General features: G+C 42.3%; 2 protein-coding genes and 1 long non-coding RNA gene across 6 annotated transcripts in view, besides 2 other annotated features; 1 reads left to right on the top strand and 2 right to left on the bottom strand.

Moving 5' to 3' along the window:
• HSD11B1 (hydroxysteroid 11-beta dehydrogenase 1) overlaps nucleotides 1–4,110 on the bottom strand; it is a 48,751-nt gene extending 44,641 nt beyond the window's left edge. For both annotated transcript variants that reach the window (NM_001206741.2, NM_181755.3), the window contains exon 1: nucleotides 4,004–4,110. The gene's annotated coding sequence lies outside the window, so the exon portion shown is untranslated. The remainder of the gene's footprint in view (nucleotides 1–4,003) is intronic.
• The window catches only part of HSD11B1-AS1 (HSD11B1 antisense RNA 1), an 81,204-nt gene that overhangs the window by 52,274 nt on the left and 6,854 nt on the right, over nucleotides 1–22,076 (top strand). Inside the window, exon 1 of one of the 3 annotated variants that reach the window (NR_134511.1) lies at nucleotides 15,040–15,067. The exons of the other annotated variants lie outside the window; for them this stretch is intronic. This is a non-coding gene — a long non-coding RNA (HSD11B1 antisense RNA 1). Of the gene's footprint in view, nucleotides 1–15,039; nucleotides 15,068–22,076 lie in introns of those variants that run through there. 3 annotated transcript variants of the gene reach the window in all.
• G0S2 (G0/G1 switch 2) lies at nucleotides 13,899–14,877 on the bottom strand. The gene is made up of 2 exons (NM_015714.4): nucleotides 14,740–14,877; nucleotides 13,899–14,636 (listed from the first exon to the last, which is right to left on the bottom strand). Exon 2 carries the CDS (start codon nucleotides 14,602–14,604, stop codon nucleotides 14,293–14,295), a length of 312 nt encoding a protein of 103 aa, NP_056529.1. The 5' UTR covers nucleotides 14,605–14,636; nucleotides 14,740–14,877; the 3' UTR covers nucleotides 13,899–14,292.
• Nucleotides 13,917–14,765: an enhancer, noted in NCBI's record as "H3K4me1 hESC enhancer chr1:209848869-209849717 (GRCh37/hg19 assembly coordinates)". NCBI's record gives its function as "activates a minimal SCP1, AML or CMV promoter by ChIP-STARR-seq in primed H9 embryonic stem cells {active_cell/tissue: H9 hESC(primed)}" and the evidence as "EXISTENCE:reporter gene assay evidence [ECO:0000049][PMID:30033119]".
• Nucleotides 17,046–17,285: an enhancer, noted in NCBI's record as "active region_2469". NCBI's record gives its function as "activates an Ori minimal core promoter by ATAC-STARR-seq in GM12878 lymphoblastoid cells {active_cell/tissue: GM12878}" and the evidence as "EXISTENCE:reporter gene assay evidence [ECO:0000049][PMID:35858748]".

Here is a 22,076-nt window from a genome sequence, read left to right as displayed (position 1 = left end):
TGTTGCCCAGGCTGGAGCGCAGTGGCGCCATCACAGCTTATTGCAGCCTCAACCTCCTATGTGCAAGCAATCCTCTCATGTCAGCCTCCTAAGTAGCTTGGCATGCACCACTACGCTCTGCTAATTTTTTTATTTGTAGAGACTGGGGTCTCTCTATGTTGCCCTGGCTGGTCTTGAACTCCTGGGTTCAGGTGATCCTCCCACTTCAGTCTTCCAAACTGCTGGGATTATAGGCATGAGACACTGCTGGAGAAGGAAAGTTTATTTTCAGCCAAAAATTGGCTTCTTGATCATAATTCATGAAATATCTTCCCTTATCTCTGGGGGATATTGATGTTGCTGTGGCCGTTACTGATAATTATTTCTTTGGCTTTCTAGATTTCCTCTCTTGAGGTCTCCAGTATCTAAGGCTTTTGTCCCATGCCCGGTGTCTTAGTCTGTTTGTGTTACTGTAAAGGAACCCCTGAAGCTGAGTAGTTTTTAAAGAAAAGGGTTCTGTTTGGCTTATGGTTTTGCAGCCTGCAGAAGAAGCACGGTGCCGACATCTCCACCTGGTGAGGGCCTTAGACTGCTTCCACTCATGGCAGAAGTCCAAGAGGAGCAGACATCACATGGCAAGAGAGGGGTGGGAGGGGCCAAGCTCTTTGAACAACCAGTTCTTGCAGGAACTCATAGAGTAAGAATTCACTCATTACTATGAGCATGGCACCAAGTCATTCATGAGGGATTCACCCCCACGACTCAAACACCTCACATCAGGCCCCACTTCCAACCTTGGGGATTAAATTTCAACATGCAACTTGGAGGGGACAAATATCCAAACTATATCACCTGGTGATCTTTGTAGTCTCTTCCTTGGCTGTTGGAAGCTTTGTGTGTGAGGGCAGGGCTTGTCAATTTTTGGACTTCACTGTAGGATAATCCAGAAGGCCCCTGGCGGTTTCATTGGAGGAACCACACATCAATGTCTGTAGTGTTTGTCTCTTTGGTTGAGTCCTTTCTACAGGGAAGAATCCTTAATTCTTCTGCTTAGTGTAAGCTGGGGTAGGGTGGGTGGAGAGGGGTAGAGCTAGGCTGTTTGTGTTCTGGGAGCTGAGCCAGTAAAATGGGCTGGGGAATCTCATCTTTCAGTATGGAGTCTTTCTCTAATCTCGCTATTTCCAGCTCCATGCCTAACCCCACCCTCTGCTGTGTCTGATGTCCCAGAGCCTGGTGTGTCTTTGTTAAGTTTCTCCAGAAAATAAACTTTCCTTCTCCAGCTGGAGTAGCTGTAGAGGCCAAGGGTCTTCTGCTATGTTTACCCCCACCTGTTCCTCCAACTCCTGAGGCTTCCCATCATGAGCACTCAGACTCCAGCAGTCTTGGGTTTGCTAAGTCACTTATTACTCATCCATCCACTTTCCATCTTCCAAGAGTGTTGACATTCCTTAACTGTTGTTATCTCTGTTGTTCCCATGTTCCCAGTCTTTTTGTCCTTGTGGCTTATGGCATATAAATTCTTCTACTGTCATCAAAGCATTTTGTCAGGATGCAGAAATTAATGTCTGTTCAGAGTGCCAAGTTTAACCCTAGATAGCTATTTCTGAGTGGCTTGTCAGGCTTGAAAGGAGAGGAAGCTTATAGTAGTGATATCTTCTACTTACCCCCAAGTTACTGAAGAGTCAAGAGCATGGAAACAAGACTTTTTATTGCATGGTTTTATTCGAAGAAAAGGAGGGGAAATATTCCATTTGTTCGTCCATTTAAAAAAATACTTACTGAGCACTAATACATCTCTGGAATTGTGCTAGGCGCTGGGAATACAAAGCCTCACTAATATGTGGTGTCTGCTTTCAAGGAGTTTGAAGTCAAGCACAAGGAAAGTTGGCAAGTAAGTCAGAGCTCACCATAGCGTGATGTATACTATAATAGGAATGTGTGTAGAGGGCTGTTGAAGTAGAGAAGGGACAGGCCATGGCAGCAGGAAAGGGCTCTGGGAGGTGGTCCTGGAGCTCAGTTTTGAAGGCTAAGTACAAGTTATGAGGATGTTGGAGAAAGGCATCCCAAGCAGAGGTAACTGCATGTATTCAGGCAAGAAGTCTAGAAAGCATGGCATTTTGGAGGCAACTCAGGTAGCCTGAATGGCTAGAGCAAGGGTCTGTGTTGGGGAGGGGCCTGAGTAAGGCTGGAACAGTCACTGAACTAGCCATGTCTCTCCAGAGCCTGATCCTGGGCTTACCAACAAGAGCTCCAGAAATCATAATATCTTATTCCCTCTGTGCATTTGAGCAAAGTTAAAACAATGTTATTTGTAAAATGAGGATAATATGAAGATTACATAAAGAAATGAGACATGTAAAATGCTGATCAATGGTAGGAATGTAAAATATTCTAGTTCTCTCATGACAAATCTGCCTCAAATCTTTCTCCTCCCTAGTCTCCTAACAGTTATAAAACAGATTCTGGAAAAACTAAACTATTGGGGAAATCTTTTTCTTCTTTCTATTTCTGCCAGGGAAAGATTACTTGAGCATCTTTTAACTGAATGTTGTATTTAGTCAGCAGCTGCGGTGTTTATGAGCTCTCGGACATCTGGGGTACCTTCTTGTAAAGTTTTCATGATTTCTTAAAAGGCTCCTGGGTGGGACTCTGGGAGAACTGAGTTCCAGTCTCCCTCCCATCACTGACAATACATGTGACTTTGGGCAAGGCCCTTCCCTTGTCTTGGCTTCAATTCCCTCATCTGGCAAACAAGGAGAAATAAATTAGATTACCTTTAATATTTGTTCTAGCTCAGAAATTGGACACAGAGAACTTTTAGCTGTACTCAAATTAGTATAAAGAAAGAGCTAGGATTTTCAGATTTTATTTTCATATCATCCTAATGACAGGGAGGCAGTTCCTTTCAAACCTTGGCAAGCCAGCAGAAGTGAGATTGTTTCATCTCTCCTTACCTTTCCCACCCTCCTTTCAGCTTCCGACTCTGATGAACTCACACAAACCCCAAAGAGAAACACTGGCTCTGAAGGAAACACTTCAATTGTGTCCCTCTGATACTGGTAAGCTCTGTTGGAAAAGTCAGAGGAGTTGGACTCTTAAAAGCCAACTGTTGTGAAAACACATCATCGTCGTCTGTAGATGTTTTCTGAAGCATGCATCCAGCTATTTTAATCTCTCCAAAGTGAGTGGATCACTAAGCCACAACCCTCTGGATGATATGGTCTATTGATGGCAAGTGAAGGTTTGGGTAAATGGTGAGGGTGGGGAATGGTATTTCCCTTTCCTGTCAGGTTTCTCTAGTTCCTTGACCTGAAACAAGTGTTGGGATTTTCTCTGAAAAGGCCCGTTTAGGGCTCAGAGGGTCAGTATTCTGAGCAGCCCAGCTGGACTAGGATTAAAGGATAGATGAATAGCACATGAAGAATTTTGATGGACACGTTTAGGCCTCCCTTGGTCCACTGAACAAGACTTCTGGAAATAAAATGAGCCTTTTCAACACTCTAGATCTAAATGTTAATAACATTAAACTGGCTGATGTTTGGCTGCAACATGCAGGTATCAGCACATTTAAGTACTTCCCAAGATACAGCATAGTGTTTGTGCTCTGTCATTGGTTTAAAGCCGATTTTAAAAACTGCTTACAACATTTCTATAATTCTTGCTGTCTTTCTGTAATTCCAAAAGAACATGCAGACACTTTTTATACTATCTTTGCAACTTTTTTGTTCCAACTTGACTTTCTGTCCCACAATGATCAGAATGCTGTCAGTGCCAGCAAGAGACTTCTGGTTCCATCTGCATCTTATCATATCATCCCTCCTACACATTTGAAAGCTCATCGGGCGTTTCTTCTTGTTTTTTCTGACCAGCATTTCACATTGAAATTTTTCTTTAGCCCAGCCCTCCTGTTCATTTCGATAGATTAATTATTTCAATAGCAGATTTTTTTGAGGACCTACTATGTACTAGGCCCTGATACAAATGGTGATACTATTATATATAATGTGATTTTTAAAAGTCTTACCTCAAGATTTCGAACAAATCTGACTTCTTTTTATTGATGTTCTTTTTTCTTTTTCTTCTCTTCTCTCTCTCTCCCTCCTCCTCTGCCTTTCCTTCTGTTTCATCTCTCTCTTCCTTTGCGGTTTCCCACTCTTTGGGGAGGGGCAGGATTTCCTGCTCAGAAGTTGGTTGGTTTCTGGGAGGAGTCAGAAGACCTGATTTGGGACTGAAACCAGCTGGTCTGCCACCTGATACAAGAAGGTGAAACCCAGGCCAAGGAAGAAGTCCCTTATGCTAGGACCGAGCTGGCAGCCAGAAGGCGCCTGCAGAGACAGCTCCAAAGAGAAGCCAGAGTGGGCCAGTTCTGGGCATCAGGCATCAATCAGTACTCCCCAAAGGACAGAGGAGCCCTCGAGGCAGCCCAAGACAGGAATGCTTGGAAGTGGTCCTGGTTGCCCTGGAGACTTATCCATTACTATTGTTAGCTCTTAACATGGGAGAGGCATACCAGACAGAGCCCCTGTCCCACCCTTAGCAGGTGCTTACTCTCAGATTCCTGACTTTGTCTCAAAGGAAGTTACTGAAACAAAAACTGGATTTGGGCAGGTTTTCCCTTTTCACCAGGAGAGACTCTAGTGATCCAGTGCATTCTGTGAGGCCTGTGTGTCCACACATTTCTCAATTATAAACTCCTTAGGGAATCTCATATGTGACTTATAAACCATTTTAGTGACTGCATCAGCTGATGTTGGAGTGGATGTAAAGGGAAGACAGGAATCTGCAATGGGATGTATAAGGGAAAGAGAATCCGTAAGTAGGGACAATAATTCTACCATGATTCTTGCCGATTAATGACAGAGAGAGTCACATCCCAATTCAGAGGTTTGTGATCTCTGGACTAAGGAAGGGACTACAGCATGTCAAAACAAAAATGTACTTTCTTCCTCTATTTCTTCATTTGTTCAACAGATATCTAATAAGCATCTACTCTATGCTAGGCACTGGGCTAGAGGCTGGGGATAGAGTGGTAAGCCATGCTAGATGTAGCTATGCCCTGATGGAGAGTATAGCGACTGGCCCCTCTGAGATTTGGGGACACAAACTCCGAGGAAGGACTGTAATTGTTGGGTACTAATGTCTCCTTTGGAGAAACACCATTAGACAGATTTTGGATAGTCATCTTTCTGTTACTTAGCCAATGTGGAACATTGGTTCTTTGAATGACACTTTTGCTTGCAATATCTACAAGTACCCCTCTCTATATGTTCCCAATTCTTAGAAAATAGAAGACTTTTTGGCTTTGTTTTTATTTCGGGGCAAGTTTTTTTATGTAGAGAACCATACGTTCTATTGATTTCTAGCTTATTTACTTTCTAGAGCTCTCTGAAAATATCTAGCTATGTATTGGATATTTTCTAAGCTGTCAGTTTCATATTTCAATTACTTTTTTCTCATTAAATCTCTGAATTCATATTTGAGCCCTTTAATAGAAAAAAATAAAGACAATGTTTCTTTTATTTCAGCTGTTGAGTGTACTCCAGAATGCTCTTTGAAAGTTTTCTGAAGTCTCTTTTCATTTTCATTTAGTTTACAATTTTTAATCTTTGTCTAACATACTTTTAAAAGAAAGATTTTTTTGAAATTGCTTTTTGTACTGGATTTTCAAGGTTTTTCTTGTCCACTTAAGGCGTTTGTTTTTCATTTTGCACAACTGAGTTATTTAATTTTTTTCTTACCCTGCTGCTTATAATTTTTTTTCTCTATTGGATGGACTAACAATTAACTGAATCATTTGGTACAGATGTTTAATCCAGAACAATAAGTACCTAATAAAATCCTGAATTGTTAACTAATTTCTGCTCAACCACCCCTGAGGCTTAGGAAAATCTTTCATGATAACTTTTAATTTTGCTCCAGGCCAGGGTTTAAATTCAGCTTTTTAGGGCTCCCCTCTGGTTTAGCAGTTTTACAATGTGATTACTCTTTTTCAGAGAAAACTTAGAAGAAACGGTTGTCTCATGTTGAAGGTCAGGTAAAGCTGAGTAGAAAGAGAAATGAAAGGAGGGTAGGTTTTAGGTGGTATCAGAGTCTTTGAGAGAGACCATTCTCAAGTTAAAATTTTATTTTGAAGCCTTAGCTTACCAATGAAAGAAGCTGACTATTGCCTCTTTGGGGCTTTGTCTCCTAATTTTTCTGGGCCTCCTCTTAAATATCTTAATTTATTCATTTTGACATGTCAGAAGTTCTACGTGATGGCCATTGCTATTCTAACATTAATTTTTGCAGTTTACCAAAATAAGTACAAGAGTTAGGATTATATGGCAATTTTATATGGAAAGCAGGAGTTCTTCCAGTGGAGACTGCAGCTTTGACATGGAAGAAACCAAGAAGAACAAGAGATGCCACTGAGTAAAAGTGTGTGCCTGTGAATGCTATCTTGGGTTCCCTTTCTAAGCAAAGGTTAGAAAGGACCACATAATTAATGACCTGACAAAATCTTTCACCCCAGTGTACAAACTAAAAGTGTCCTATCACAGACTGACAAGACAGGGCATGCTCTCATCAAAGTTTTTTGTAGATCTGACCAATTGCCTTTTCCCAAATTGGTTTTCAGTTTACTGGACCTCCAAATGTTATCGCTGAGGACTAGCTTGGATTGGATTGGTAACTTATGGAGTATATATCTCCATTCATTTCCTCTGGAACACTCCCTTATATCAGAAATAAGACAATACAGAAAAAATACAATAAGATTTTTTAATATAGACAAGCAAAAGTAAACAGAGAGTAGGAGGGGAATAAACAGTTTAATGGTAAAAATATTTATGCCTCCAAAACCAAAGGTCTAATGAACTTATAAAAAGACCTGTGTTGAACTACCCAGTGGTATACTTCCCACACAAAATATCAAATGATCTTATACCAAGACCTATGTCCAATTACTCAATGGTGTACCTCCCAAACAAAATGCCTAATGACCTTTTACAAGGGTCTAGGTGTAATTGTTTACTAAAATGTGCACCTGTTGACTAAATTTTCTAATTATGTAATACAAAGAACTAGGCATAATGATCTTATACAAAGACCTGTTTGCTTGTAAATCACAGAAGCAATGAGAACTTAATGAAACCAGTCAGATCTCAGGTTATCATTGAGATTTTCTCACCAGGCAGCAGATCTAAAGGACAAATGCACTTGGGCACAAGGAGCCCAGTAAGTGTACCTGTTGGTCCCATGTTCCCTGGAATATTGCCAAGGGAAGGTCTTTAAAACAATCACAGTAGAGCTTCCAGAATTGTCAAAGAATGATGAGTCCCCCATTTAAGGTCTAAAATAAAACAAAAATGGTAAACTTATTGCTCATTATAGTAAGGGCAAGCTTTGCTGCTCAATCTCTCTGAAAAGCAGGCTGCTGATCTCATATAGGGTTTCGAGGATGCATGAAGGTCAGGGACTGGTGTACTTTCCCAGACATAAATGGGCTAACATCAGCTATAGAAGCATGACTATTTGTTGATTGGTTAGCACTCTGAGATGCAGTTAATGGCATGAGTTCATTCCTGATTGGTTGACTCTCAGAAGTGAGGGCCTATCACTGATTGGTTGGCTTCTAAAAGCTTAACAGGTGAATTGTCATTGATTAAGCCACTGGGTTTTCTACTAGTTCAGGTTAGCATGACTACAGAACAATCAAATTTTCCTAAGAATGTGGGAAACTTTAAATATTCTCAGTTGATACCTACTATTTGTTTTCATTACAATATAGTGCAAGATGGCATCTAATATAGCACAAAACTATATATATTTATTTCTATAAATAGATCAAATTTTGTGGTGTTTTGTGAAGAGGAAGATAACTTTAATAGGCATTTCACTATGACCAAATTTGAGACTATTAGGTTTGACCAGTAGGTTAAGGTATTTTTATAAAAGGCAAAAGCATTAGTTAGATGAGCTTAATCAAGAAATAATTTATTTTTGGAATTAAATTTATCACATTTAATAGTAATTGAGTGAAAAGGAAACATATTTATCAATATGCTGAGAAAAAGAATAAAGAGGCATTTAAAGAAAGGGATGATCTAGACAGACAGGCTGGAAAGGGAAATACATCCGCTTTTTGGTGGTAATATTAGACAGAATCCTAGCATCTTATAACTGGATGCAACCTCCAAGTCCAGGAATCTCCTCTCCAGTTTATACCATCCCTGGCAGATGACTTCCAACCCCTGCTTGAATGCTTTTGGTAATGGGGAGCTTACTATATATCACAAGGCAATTCATTATGTTTTTTAATTACTCTGATATCTTAATAATATAATATCTGCCTCCTTGTAATCCTGCTTAATAGTGCTAGTTCTCTATTTTTGAGCCAGATAAGTCTTATCCTCTCCAATATAGCAGCTCTTGGAATATTTGGAGCAATTGTCATGTAAAGCTACTGAATCTAATATCTCTATTGTTCTTCAATTGTTTTGTATGTGATAGAGTTTCTGGACTTTTATTTGCCCTCGTCACTCTAATAAATCTAAGTAGATTTTTTTTGGTCAAGGTTTGTCTTAAAATATTAACAATAACAATAATAGCTCTCATTGACTGATAGAGCCTGCTATATGCAAGGTACTACTGTAAGAACTCTATGTGTATTAACTCATTTAATCAGCAAAATTTTCCCTGAGGAAGGTACTATTTTACAGATGAAGAAAGAATTTAAGTAAATTGAGAGACAGTGTGTGTGTAAATAACTTTCCCAGGTTTTAGAACTACAAATAGGAGAGTCAAGATGCAAACCCAAGCAAATCCAGGCAGTCCGATTTAAACTCTTAGTTTTTCATCTTGACAGAATGCAAAGTATAACAAAGCCACCTGCTCTTCTCTTTTTCTGCACATTATACTTCTACTAATGAAGCATTAATTTGTTTTAGAAGTCCTGTTATAAGCCCTCGTTGGCTTTTATTGAACTTGTAACCACCAAAAATCTTTAGGTCTGAGCAAAAAGAACAAAACTAGAGGCATCATACTACTTGACTGCAAAATAAACTTCAAAGCTATAATAACAAAAACAGCATGATACTGGCATAAAAGCAGATATATAGACCAATGGAACAGAATAGAGGGCTTAGAAATAAATTCACTCACCTACAGCCAACTGATTTTCAACAAAGTTGCCAAGAGCCCACATTGGGGAAAAGACAGTCTCTTCAATAAATGGTGCTGGGAAAATTTGGTATCCACCTGCAGAAGAACAAGACTAGATCCTGACCTCTCACCATATCAGGTCATATGCCACATAACATTTTGGCCAATGAGGGACTGTATATATGATGGTAGTCCTATAAAATTATAATAATGTATTTTTACTGTACCTTTTATGTTTAGATATGTTTAGGTATACAAATGCTTACCATTATGTTACAATTGCCTACAATATTCAGTACAGTAATATACCATACAGGTTTATAGCCTAGGAGCAATAGTCTACACCATATAGCCTAGGTATGTAGTGGACTATGCTATCTAGGTATGTTTTAAGTAGACTCCATGATGTTTGTGCAAATGACAAAATCGCCTAGTAAAGCATCTCTCACAATGTAGCCCCATTGTTACGTCACGCATACCTATAAAAATCAACTCAAAATGGATTAAAGATTTAAACATAAAATCAGAAGCTATGAAACTACCAGAAGATGATATGGGGAAATATTTTGAGACATTGGACTAGGCAAAGAAGTTTTAGATAAGACCTCAGAAACATAGGCAATCAAAGCAAAAATAGACAAATGGGATTACATCAAACTGGAAAGTTTGTGCACAGCAAAGGAAACAATTAGCAGTGAAGAGACAACCTGCAGAATGGGAGAAAATATTTGCAAACTATATATCTGATGAAGGGTTAATATCCAGAATGTATAAGAAACTCAAACAACCCAACAGCAAAAGAAACCCAAGTAACCTAATTTTAAAAATGGGCAAAATACCTTAATATTTCTCAAAAGAAGACATAAAAATGGCCAACAGGCATATGAAAAAAAAATGTTCAACATCACTGATCACCAGGGAAATACAAGTCAAAACCACAATTAAATACTACTTCACTATAGTTAGAATAGCTCTTACCAAAAGACAAAAGAAAGCAAGTGTTGGTGAGGATGTAGAGAAAAGGGAATGCTTATACCCTGTTGGTGGGAATGTAAATTAGCACAGCTCCTAATGGAATGGAAAACAGCATGGAGGTTCCTAAAAGATTAAAAGTAAAACCACCATAAGATCCAGCATTCCCACTGGTGGGTATATAGAGATATCTGTACTCCCATATTTGTTGCAGCACTGTTTACAATAGCCAAGACTTGAAATCAACCTAAGTTGCCAGCAGTGGATGAAAGGATAAAGAACATGTGGTATATGTATACAATGGAATACTATTCAACGATGGAAAACAATGATATCCTGTCATCTGAGACAAAATGGATGAACCTGGATGTTATGTTAAGTGAAATAAGCCAGACACAGAAAGACGAATAGCCAATAGCACATGATCTCACTTAAATGTGGAATATATATATATATGTGTATATTTACTGATCTTATAGAAGTATAGAGTAGATCAGTGTGGTTAACAGAGACTTGGGGGGAGATAGGGGAGGGGAGGATGAGGAGAGGCTGGTCAAGGGGTACAAAGTTTCAATTAGGAGGAAGAGTTCTGGAGTTCTTTTGCACAGTAGGGTGACCATGGTTAACAGTAAGGTATTGTATATTACAAAATAGCTAGAAGAGAAGCTTTTGAATGTTCTCACCACAAGGAAATGATAAATGCATGAGGCAATGGCTATGCTAAATACCTTGATTTGATCATTATACAATGTGTTCATGTATGGAAACATCAAATTGTACTCCATAAATATGTACAATTATAATGAGTCAATTAAAAATTTCAAAAAACTCTAGATCTTTTTCACATGATCTGCTGCTAGAATATGTCTTTCAAATTCTGTGGTTGTGCAATTGGTTTTTTGGATCTGAATTCTGTACTGTATCTTTTTCCCTATTCGGTTTCAGTTGGTTTTTCTTCGATGCGTGGTTCCAGCCTATTGAGTTGTTTTGAGTTCTGACTGTGCTGTCTCAGCTCTGTGTCACCAACAGAACTGATAAGTATACCTTCTGCTACCTCTCCTAGGTTGTTGGTAAAATTACCAAGCAGCATAGGAAAAAAGACAATTTTTGTTCCTGTGTTGGGGGAGGAACATGTTTGATTGTAACCAGACAGAGCCTTGTGAGACCACCTCATAACTTCGATTCTGAAATTATTAAGCAAATCCTTTTTCCTTACTTTCCTCTAACCCAGAATTTTTCAACTTCTGCCCTATTGACATTTTGGAATGGAGAATTCTTTGTGTTGGGGGCTGTCCTGTGCATTAGAACATGTTTAACAGCCCACTGACTTCTACCCTCTAGATGCTTGCAGTCCTGCCCCCTCCCCTCACCCAGACACCAGAAATGTCTTTAGACTGTCAAATGTTCTCTGGAGGGACAAAATTGCTTCTCCTTTCATTTACAATCACTGCTCTAGCCTCATAAATGATTAAACAATCAAGTATTTATTAAGAACCTACTATTTGCCTAGGACCTAATGATTTCTGTGAACACTGAAGAAGACATGGTCCTTTACTTCAAGAAGATTATACTGTAAGAGACATGACCAAGCCCACAGAACAACTGGAAGAAAAAAAGCCCATTACTGAGTGATGTGGTATGAGATTCAGGCTGTACGGCCTATAAGAACTCAGAGAATTGAGAAGACCAGTGAGAACAGAGATTTCAATAGCTCGGATTTGATTGGGTTGGGTAATTTGAATATAAATAGGCATGGGGAATTTCCTTCTACACAAAAACATATAGGCATACTTATATATTTAGGGAACTTTATTTTTTTATGTATAGGCAACCTTTCAAAACATAGGCGTTACCCTCTAAATAAAAAATCATGTAATCCCAGTACTTTGGGAGGCTGAGGCAGGCGGATCATGAGGTCAGGAGATTGAGACCATCCTGGCCAACATGGTGAAACCCCATCTCTACCAAAATACAAAAAATTAGCTGGGCATGGTGGTACACGCCTGTAGTCCCAGCTACTCGGGAGGCTGAGGCAGTGGAATCGCTTGAACCCAGGAGGCAGAGGTTGCAGTGAGCCAAGATTGTGCCACTGCACTCCAGCCTGGTGACAGAGCAAGACTCCATCTCAAAAATCAGAGCACACAATTTTACATGTATTTTGACAATGGGCAAAATACCTGTATTTGAAATCATACCTTCCTTGGAGAATTTGAGGTATGTGGTTTCAGAAGATGTGGAGGTAGTGGGTGGGAGGACATTCGGGTTGGAAATTCGGGTTGGAAGAGTAATGTAAATGAAGGTGCAGAAAACCAGAAGGAAACAGGCAAGGACCAGGGTTCATGCTAGGCACCCTGACAAATCAGGCAAGACGGCCAGCTGTGATGGAAGCACATCACAGAGGCACTGAAACCTGGCATAAGAGTTTTAGTCTCAGATGTTTTTGAGTTCAGGAGCAGCAGAATGAAAGATATTAAAGGAAGACAGTCTGACAAGGGATTGTTTAGGGTGAATGTGCTAGAAGGTGCAGGGGGTGGCTTGAGCGGTTGAGAGCCAGACAAGGTGGTAACTGAATGGGTAAAGGAGTAATTAATAAAAGAGGCATTTTGGAAGACCAGCAGGAAGGATAAAATTGAGTCAGTTCCTAGGAAGTTTCTTGGACATTGAAAGTGAGGCTCTGCCTTGGTATAGGGCTGAATTTCCCATTTTGGAAACTGGGAGAGCCATGGTGCCACTGACATTCTTTTCCTTTAAAACTCCAAATATGTTTCTTTTCCTTGATTAATCTTACCACATTCTGATTGCTTTTTTCCTTTGGGAGTGATAAGAATAGATTTCAGAAAGAGATGGCTTTTGATCAGGGCCAGGAACACTTGGTAGGAATTGAGTTGGCAGAAATGAAATGGAGATGTGTGTAGGGCATTGGACGAAGGAGAGAGTCTGAGCAGAGGCAATGGTGTGAGCCAGTGATATGTTTGGCAAAAATGCATAGCTGTTGATGAAAGGAGTAAAGTGTCAGTACCTGATTAGGACAGGTGACATGAAAAATGTGAGGAGACTAGCATCAAGGCCATGCCTCTGGCTCCTGGCTACTTCTTTAAAGTTTAAAATTTGTTTTGCTGAGCCCTATAGAGTCACTGAATTAGCTATTACTACAGATGAAGCTCTGTACACTGGAGGAGGAGGACTCAGATATGTAACAACCGGTTTTTTTCTCTTTCTAGCCCAGAGTTTCTTACTATGATCTGGATTCGTGGGGAGGAAGGCTGGGTAGAGCTAGACTCATCATCTGCTTTGGTGTTCTTGGGAGCTTATCTCTTTTCCTGCCAGGTAGATAGTTTTTCCTTTCTTTCCTTCCCTTCACCTCCAGACCTCCCTCCTTCATTTTCTTTCCTTCTCTCTGTCTGTCTGTCTAAAATATAGTTGGGAAGAAAAAGGTATCAGCCATGGGAACCTCTGGTGCACAGGTGTAAGGAACAAAGAGCTTTTCTGCCTTAGAATTAATCAGTTATCTCCTACTCACTGTAGCTCAGAAGTTGATCTACCTTTTGATGTTAAAATGCTAAATCTCACGGAAGTTATAAAATTTTCTCTCTTCCCACCCCTAACAAGAAGGAAAAACAAGTCCTCAACAGACTTATATGCATGTAGTAACTTATTACACAGTTCCTAGGTGTGAAGCAAGTGTCTGACCCTCAGGAAGCTGCTCCCTCTGCAGTGCTCAGGTAAGAACCCATCACCATCGCCCACCTGCTCACCCTCCCTGCTTCCCACCCCAGGACACCACACCTCTCAGGAATTACATGAGATATGGTATAAAAAGTTTTTTTATTTCAAAATGCAAAATGGTGGTCATTGTAATAATTAATAATAATAACATAAAAAGCATTTATCCTTCCTCCCTAGTGCAAAATGGTAGACGCATTTAGATAATTCACACAGTGTTGGAAATGTCATGACAATGCAGTGCTGCACAGCAGCAAAACTCAATCCCAAACTCCTTTGGTGGATGCTTGTGGTAGGTCAGTTCTAGATGTCAGCGGTTTCTCTGAAGTTAAGTCCAAATAAAAAACAGCACGTGCTCCTGCACTCTCCCAGCGGAGTCAGGCTCCTGTGCGCGCGCCCCCTCTGTCTCTCCATTCCTCTCTCGGTCTGTCTCTGTCTACTGCGTCTCCCTCCCACTCCGCTGGTCTCCCACAGTTCCTAGGAGGCGTGCTGCCGGTTGGACAGGGCCCGGCCGCCGAGGACCGTGTCCTGCTGCTTGCCTTTCTCCTGCAGGGCTTGCTTCTGGAGAGCCTGTCGCTCCAGGGCGGCCTGCAGCTCCGCCACGGCTGCCTCCTGGTCCCGCAGACGTCTGGCGGCCGTGAAGGGGCTGCACACAGTCTCCATCAGGCCGAGCACCACGCCGAAGAGGGCCAGCACGCTGCCCAGCACGTACAGCTTCACCATCTTCCCCTTGCGCTTCTGGGCCATCATCTCCTTGGCCAGGGGGATCAGCTCCTGGACCGTTTCCATCTCGGCTCTGGGCTCTCGGAGGCGGGAATGACCTGCAGGAGGAGCAGCAGGAGAGGGGCTTCAGCCACCAAAGAACGGCTCCCACCACCCCGCACCCAGCTAATCTTGGGGAGGGCTCATAGAAAGGCGGACTACCTTAGTGGCACGGCGCGAGCAGGAGGCAGCGCGAGCTGCAGTTGGCAGCGGTCAGCGCGTCCGTTGGTCCGACCGACCTCAGCGTTCTCCTCCTCTCGGCAGCTGCAGCTCTCCCAGTTGGAGACTCCGCCGCTGGCACCGCTTTAGCGTCCGGGGGCCGCTTATATCTTTTCTCTGAGACACGCCTCCTGGGCTCTCCGGCCCAGGCCAGCGCGGTCAGAGCCAGGGGAACTCGGAGGGGGAGGAAGAAGAGGAGGGGAAAAGGAGGGGGTGGAACCCGGCTGGGACCTGGCAGGAGGTGGCCACGCGCTGAGCACGCTCCGACTGTGTGAGCTAGGGGGCCCGGCGCGGGTGCCATCGCAGCGGGGCGCGTGGGAAGGCCAGTGTGCACGCGAAGGTCCCACTCCAGGCGAGCGCAGGGGAGGACCCGGAGCCCAGGGAGGTGTCCGCGGACATCTCTGACATGGCGGCAACCTTCTTACTGGTGTCAGCGGGTGCACAGCTTCCCTTGTCCAGGACAGCCTGACATTATAAATAATGAGGGAATTTGGGGGTTCCATCTAAAGAAGAAAGCTTTCATTTTTATTCGGAAGGGTTGTCACCTTCCCACGTGTGTGGCAATGGATCAGAGAGGAGAAGGCAAGGGGGAAGGATCTGGGTAACAGGACAGAACAGGTTACGCTTGGATAAAGCAATATGTGCTAATATTGTTTCTTTCCTGCCTGGTTGGTTTTATTTAGAGGTACATGCATGTATAACTAGAGTCAGTTGATAGAAAACTATTCATTGATGGTGCTTTTATGCACAGAGGTGTGTGTGTGTGTGTGTGTGTGTGTGTGAGAGAGAGAGAGAGAGAGAGAGAGAGAGAGAAAGAGAGAGAGATTAGTCTCTTTGCCTGCGAGCTGTTTCCTTATGTACTTCCGTGTATCAGGGAAGAGCCTTCAAATTCAAATTGTTCTCACTTCCACTTGAGAAGTGGAGTTGGGAGCTTGGGGGTAGGGGGTCAAGTATGGAAGGGGCTGTTGGTAGAAGTTCATCTGCCATTTTAGAATGGAAGTATTTCATGCTCTCCTCAATAATTCTCTGCCACCCTCCTGGGTTTGGGGGTACAACTTCACTGCTCCAGCTCAACTTCAGCTTTGAAGCAGTTTGTGGGCAGAAGGGCGTGTAGTAGACAGCTTAGGTAAGAATCCAGAGTGTGAGTACTCTTGGACGTGTGAAGATGTAGGATTGATTTTGACCAGGGTTAGCTGTAATCACCTGGGGCTGAGGGAGCGTTCTAGTTTGGCTTTGGTTATGGATATGCTAGAGTTAGCAAACTTGGGGAAAAAGAGAGGCAAATTGGCCAAAGGGTTAGCAAACTTGGGGAAAAGGAGAGGCAAATTGGCCAAAGGCCTTTAAGCAGAGAAAGGGAGGGGGCAGGGGAAAGAAGGGGAAATCAAACTGGCCAGAAAATTGCAAAGGTCAGTGATGCAATCTTGCAACAGCCTTTGCAGTCGGTCGGACTGAGCCCTGAAGGGCGGGTCGGGGGAAAAGGCTGTCTCAGGGATCAAATATTTTAGTTTTTGAATTGTTAACAGTAATCTTTCTTTGGGGGTCTGAAGCAATTTCTCAGATGATTCAGTTTAAAAAGGCAGCAATAACAACTACCCTTTGCCTTGACTATTAATAGTTCAGGCAAGGGCTTGTGTGTGGAGAATGGTCAAGGTTATCTAAATAGCTTATTTGAAATTCTATGTTTTAGAATTTAGTCTGAGTGAAGGTGACCAGGGGCCAAATAGAATTGATTATTCCTGGAGGACTGTGTTTCCTGCTTATTGTTCTTTTAACCTTGTCAGGCAGGAAAATTCTGTAACAAGGGTTCCTGCCAAGTTTAATATCAGTCTTGGCATTTTCTTTGAATCTTCCTTATAGTTTCAGAGCAACCTCTGATAACTGGCAGAAATGATTAGTGAGCTTTCCCAATATCTGTGAGGGTTCCAAACCCATTGACTTCTGGAAGAGCATGTGATGTGTGCCCTGATATAAGGGCTGTCACGTGGTTTCCATTCTGAAGGTGAGTCAGCCTAGCTTGGGACCCAAAATTCTGAAATTGACTGGTCCAGTAAGCATTTCCTGTGTTTCTGTAACTCAGAGACGCAAACCACACGTCTTCCTAGGTCAGAAGGCTGTAATTTACCTGGGGTTCCCCTTTCCTGTGATTTGCTGTGTTAGTGCACATCACCAGCTCAGTTCCTTTTTTTGATAATTTGACTTTGACCTCCAGGTTCCAGCAGCTATATTGGTAAGAGCTGGACAGAGGAGGGGCAGCAAGTGCCATGGACGGAGGTCACTGGTAGACTTGATCTTCCTAGTTTAGGTGGTAGCTGGGGCTGAGCAGGAGATGATGGGAGTAGAAGGCTAAGGAATCCAGTGTTAACTCATGTCTAGGAATTTCTGAGTGCAGCTCCTCTGTCTGGGTGGGAAAAGAGAACCTGGCTCCTAGGGTAGAAGGTGACTAGGTAGGGCTTGGAAACTAAACATATATTTTAGTGGGGCTGATGTCATTTTTAGGGAAGTAAAGCACTGTGTTGTGTCATGCATGCAGGTAAGATACAGGTTATAGCGATGATGGTCAAACCAAGCCATAGGGTGACCAACCATCTTATTTTGCTCAGGGTTGAGGGGTTCTCTGAAATGCAGGACTCCTGCTAAAACTGAGCACTAAAACTGAGATACTTCCAGGCAAACTGAAACACTTCCAGGCAAACTGAAATAGTCATCCTACCCTTGAGTCTATCTCAACATTTAACTCTTGCCACTTCTAGGAAGGTAGGAAGGACTAGTTTAAAATTTTTATATTTTGCTTTCTAAATCCCTTTCTCTCAGACATTAAGACATTCAGAGCCATCTGCAGAGGGTAAAGTCACAAAGGGGTGCATGTGTTTCAAGGGTTAAGTGCAGAGGAGGGATAGAACTGTCCCTACCCCTCTGCCTTGGGGATTGAAGACACAGGGGAAAGAGGTCTTTTGGATGGTTAGTTGTAAATGAGCTTCAATAATAATTGTTATTGTTACAATTATTATAATATAATAATAACAATAATAATTATTATTTTGTTACCGGCTGCTTGCTGCCTACACAAAGTCACTGCCCACCCCTGGGGCTCCAGGCAGCTGAAGGGAGGGAGTCATCATAGGAGATATGACAAAACTATTTGTAGTTTTAAGACTACCGCACTAGAAATTTTTTTTAGACCCTTAGTTACTTTCATAGTTTTAGAAAGGAAGTTGCTTATCACTCGGATATCAGTGGAAGACACTGAAATTTATATGTGTAGCCACTGTCTCCTCTGGTCTTATAGACTAGAGTTCTAGAGTCTAAATATTTCTGTGTGGATACACTGCTATTATCACAGCTTGACACACTTAAAACAAGACTCCTTACCTTCTCTATACTCTTACAAGCTAAGTCTTCTTCTCAATATCCTTATTTCTAGCAGTGACATCTCCGTTTCATTTGTTCTCTGGGCTTGAAATATCATGGAAGTTATTTGGAGAGGCCTTCCCTGACTACTGCATCCCACCACTCTCCACCCAGTGCCCTACTTTCTTTTTCTTCATAGCACTTGGTTACCTGATTCTATGTGGATGTACTTAATGGTGTGGTTTTATATTGTCTTCCATGTGCGTTGGAGGATAGGCTTCATGAGGATAGGGACTTTGGTTTGCTCCTCACTGTGTCCCCAGTGCCCAGTATAATTCTTAGCACATAATAGGTCCTTAATGGGTAACTATGGGATTAATGAATGGCTTTTCCATGGACTGTGAAGCCTGGCAGGGAAGGGACTGTTTTTTGTTTGTTTGTTTGTTTGTTTTTGAATGCAGTCCAACTTTTAGTAGATGCTTAAAGAAGCATTCAGGTTTTTGAGGGGACAGTTTTTTTGCTTTTAATCCTTTCTCCTCTAATCCATCTTAAACACTACCACCAAATGAATCTTCCTAAAATTTAATTTTTTATTGTCAACTGCCTGTTTAAAGGCCAAGATCATTTCTCATTGCCCACATAATGGACTCCTGGATCCTGCATGTTGAATTTGCTTGATTTAGTATTCTTGGAATTCAGGCTCTCTATGGTCCGATCTTCTCCTGTTCTTCTCCCACAATAGCCCTTTGCTCCACAGAGAGGTTTCTTCACAGGCCAAGAAACAATTCATTCGCATTGCTGCTGCTTCATTTATTTTTGCTCACACAGTTGTTTCTACCTGAAATGCTGTCCTCTTTCTACTTTGTCTTCCTTTCTTCCTTGAGGTCAAGTTCAATTTCCTGTGCTCCAAGAAGCTACCACTGCCCATGGCAGCACACCTTGATCTCTCCTTTCTGTGAATTTCAGTTGCCTTTGGGGCTTGTACTCTACAGGCTGGCACTGGATGGATTACCGTTTTGTACAACTCTGTCATTGTTTCCTGTGGGCTTGCCTCAGCTCTGTGGAAGACAAAAGCTTTGTATCTTTCATGGTGTTAACATAGAATAGGAGGCTAATCAATATTAGTTACATTGACCTAAAAGTCAGTGCTGAGATAGAGAGGGCAAAGTGACCAGTTAAGGCTCTCTTGGGAAGTTATTTCAAGCACAGTAGCCTGTCCTTGGCTCAGAGCCTTGGTGTTGAAATTGCCCAAGACCTGGCAACTTGGCTTAGTTTCCTCCACTCTGGTCTCCTCACCTTTCACTTCCACTCCCAACTTAGTGTCTGACATTGTAGCCATTGGCTCACTCTGGGCACCCTCCAGCCTGCCCGTGGTACAAATCAAGGCAAAGGAACAGACTTTATAGGCATTCTGCTTTTGTCCTTCATAACTTTTGGTCAAGCAGAGCCACCAGCTGCTGGGGCATGCAGACTGTGCTGGAAGCCTTGAATAGCCATGGGTGGTGTGGTTAGAATTACCTGCACCCTGCTGCCTACATACCACTTCCAGATTAAACAATATACTTTACAAGTTTGAGTCAGCACAAGGAATTTTCCCCAAGCTCAAATGCCAATTGGTCTTAAGGGTATAGGGCTCTAAAGTCAAGCAAACCTGGGTTCCTCCAAATCCTGACTCCTCCATTTGCTAAGGCCTGACCTTGGGCAAGTGACTTAACTTCTATAACTTCTACTTCCGTATCTGTGAAGTGAGAGTTATGATAGCCCCTATTAAATGGGGTGTGGTGATGATGATAAGCCCCTATGAAACAGATATGATGAAGAGTGAATGAGATAGAGCTCTGTAAGGGACTTAGGCAGTTTCTGGCACAAATGAAGCAATCATTAAATGATGGCTGTTATTATTCAATTGTCTTTGCCTCTTGCTCTACGTCGGCAATTTCCATGATGCTTTATCCCAGCCCGGGACATTTGCATTCCTTAGGTGACATTTAGGTAGCTTCTAGTAAGGTCCAAAAATATTTGTTGAAGCCAGCCATGTACCTGACACTGTGTTAAGCATAGTTATAGGAAGCAGAATGTGTGATGGCTCACACCTGTAATCCCAGCACTTTGGGAGGACAAGACGGGCGGATCAGGAGGCTGGGAGATCAAGACCATCCTGGGCAACATGATGAAACCCTGTCTCTACTAAAAATACAAAAATTAGCCGGGTGTGGTGGCACATGCCTGTAATCCCAGTTACATGGGAGGCTGAAGCAGGAGAATCACTTGAACCCAGGAGGTGGAGGTTGCAGTGAGCCGAGATCATGCCTCTGTACTCCAGCCTGGTGACAGAGCAAGACTCTGTTTCAAAAAAAAAAAAAAAATGCAGAATACAAACTGCATTTGCCCTCAAGAAGCTTATAGTGAAGTAGAGGACACAGACTGTAAACGAGTTATTATTGTATATTGGGAAAGGCACCGTAATAGAAATTTATACCAGATGAACAAAAAGCACAGAATGAGACAGGTATTGATGCCCTTTGGGGAGGAGGTAGTCAAAGAAGGCCTAAGGGTAAATGATTCCTGAGAGGCTTGGGATGTTAAAGGATGGATGGTGTTCACCAGGTGGTTCTGGGACAGGGTGTTGTTCAGGGCATGGGGAGGCCTTGAATGAGATGGGACTGCATGTGAAAAGGGAGGATGAAAGATAAAGCATCACATGGTCCAAGAGAAGTTAGACAAGTTGGTGTTAAATCATAAAGGATGGATTTTGGGAAATGGCAGAAAATGAGCAGGAAGCAGTAAGTAGGAGCCAGATAATAAGCAGTTGTATCAATAATCACTTATTCATCCCATGCCTAGGAATTGCTGACCACTCCCTTCTAGAAACACATTTCTCCTTTGCTTCCACGATACCATATTCTGCTGGTTTTCCTCTTACCCTATTCTGGACAAAACTCAGGATCTTTATCTCAATTGTCCTCTTTATCTAACCTACAAATGTCAGCATTTCTCAGGACTCAGTCCTGGAGCCCCTTTTCTTATTCCACATGCTCTCTTCAGTGATTTAATTTACTGCCAGGGCTTCCATTGCTGCTTCTACACAGATGACCTACAAGTCTGAGCTCTAGACCTGTGTATCCCTCTACCTATTCTACATTTTGACTTGGATGTCTTGCAGGTATCAGAATTACTGTGTCTAAAGCCAAATTCAATATTTCTACCCCATAAACTTGTAACCATCTTTCTTAACCTAAGCTGCACCATTCACCTAGCAGCTCAGGTTTGAAGTCAAGGAGCCATCTTTTCCTCCTTGCTCTCCATCACCTCTCCAATGTGAAAAATCACCAAGACTTGTGGCTCACGTCTGTAATCCCAGCACTTTGGGAGGCTGAGGCGGGTGGATCACGAGGTCAGGAGATCAAGACCATCCTGGCTAACACAGTGAAACCCCATCTCTACTAAAAATACAAAAAATTAGCTGGGTTTGGTGGCGGGTGCCTGTAGTCCCAGCCACTCGAGAGGCTGAGGCAGGAGAATGGCGTGAACCCGGGAGGCGGAGCTTGCAGTGAGCCTAGATTGCACCACTGCACTCCAGCCTGGGGCGACAGAGCGAGAATCCGTCTCAAAAAAAAAAAAAAAAAAAATCACCAAGACTTATCATTCTACCTCTTAAACATCTGTTAATTCAATCTGCTTTCTATCTCCTCTGCCACCCTTCTAGTCTAAGATCTCATTGCCTCCCCCAGACCATTTAGTATGGCCTCACAGCTGGTCTCTCTGCCTCAGGTTTTGGCCACTCTACTCCACTTCAAGCCAGTGTAGTCTTTTTAAAAAGTGCAGACTTGGCCATGTCACTCTTCTCTTTCAAATCCTTCAGTGGTTAGCAAAAAGTTCGTGGAATAAAAAAAAAATAAAATCATTCAGTGGATCCCCACTTTGCCCTTTGG

The sequence above is a fragment of the Homo sapiens genome, chromosome 1 (assembly GCF_000001405.40).
Source record: "Homo sapiens chromosome 1, GRCh38.p14 Primary Assembly".
Classification (NCBI taxonomy): domain Eukaryota; kingdom Metazoa; phylum Chordata; class Mammalia; order Primates; family Hominidae; genus Homo; species Homo sapiens.
The sequence above is the reverse complement of the archived record's forward strand: the minus strand, read 5'-3'. Positions and strand labels throughout refer to the sequence as shown.

Bases quoted from the DNA above. Each gene is read 5' to 3' on its own strand.
- G0S2 (NM_015714.4), bottom strand. From the start codon at position 14,604: ATGGAAACGGTCCAGGAGCTGATCCCCCTGGCCAAGGAGATGATGGCC.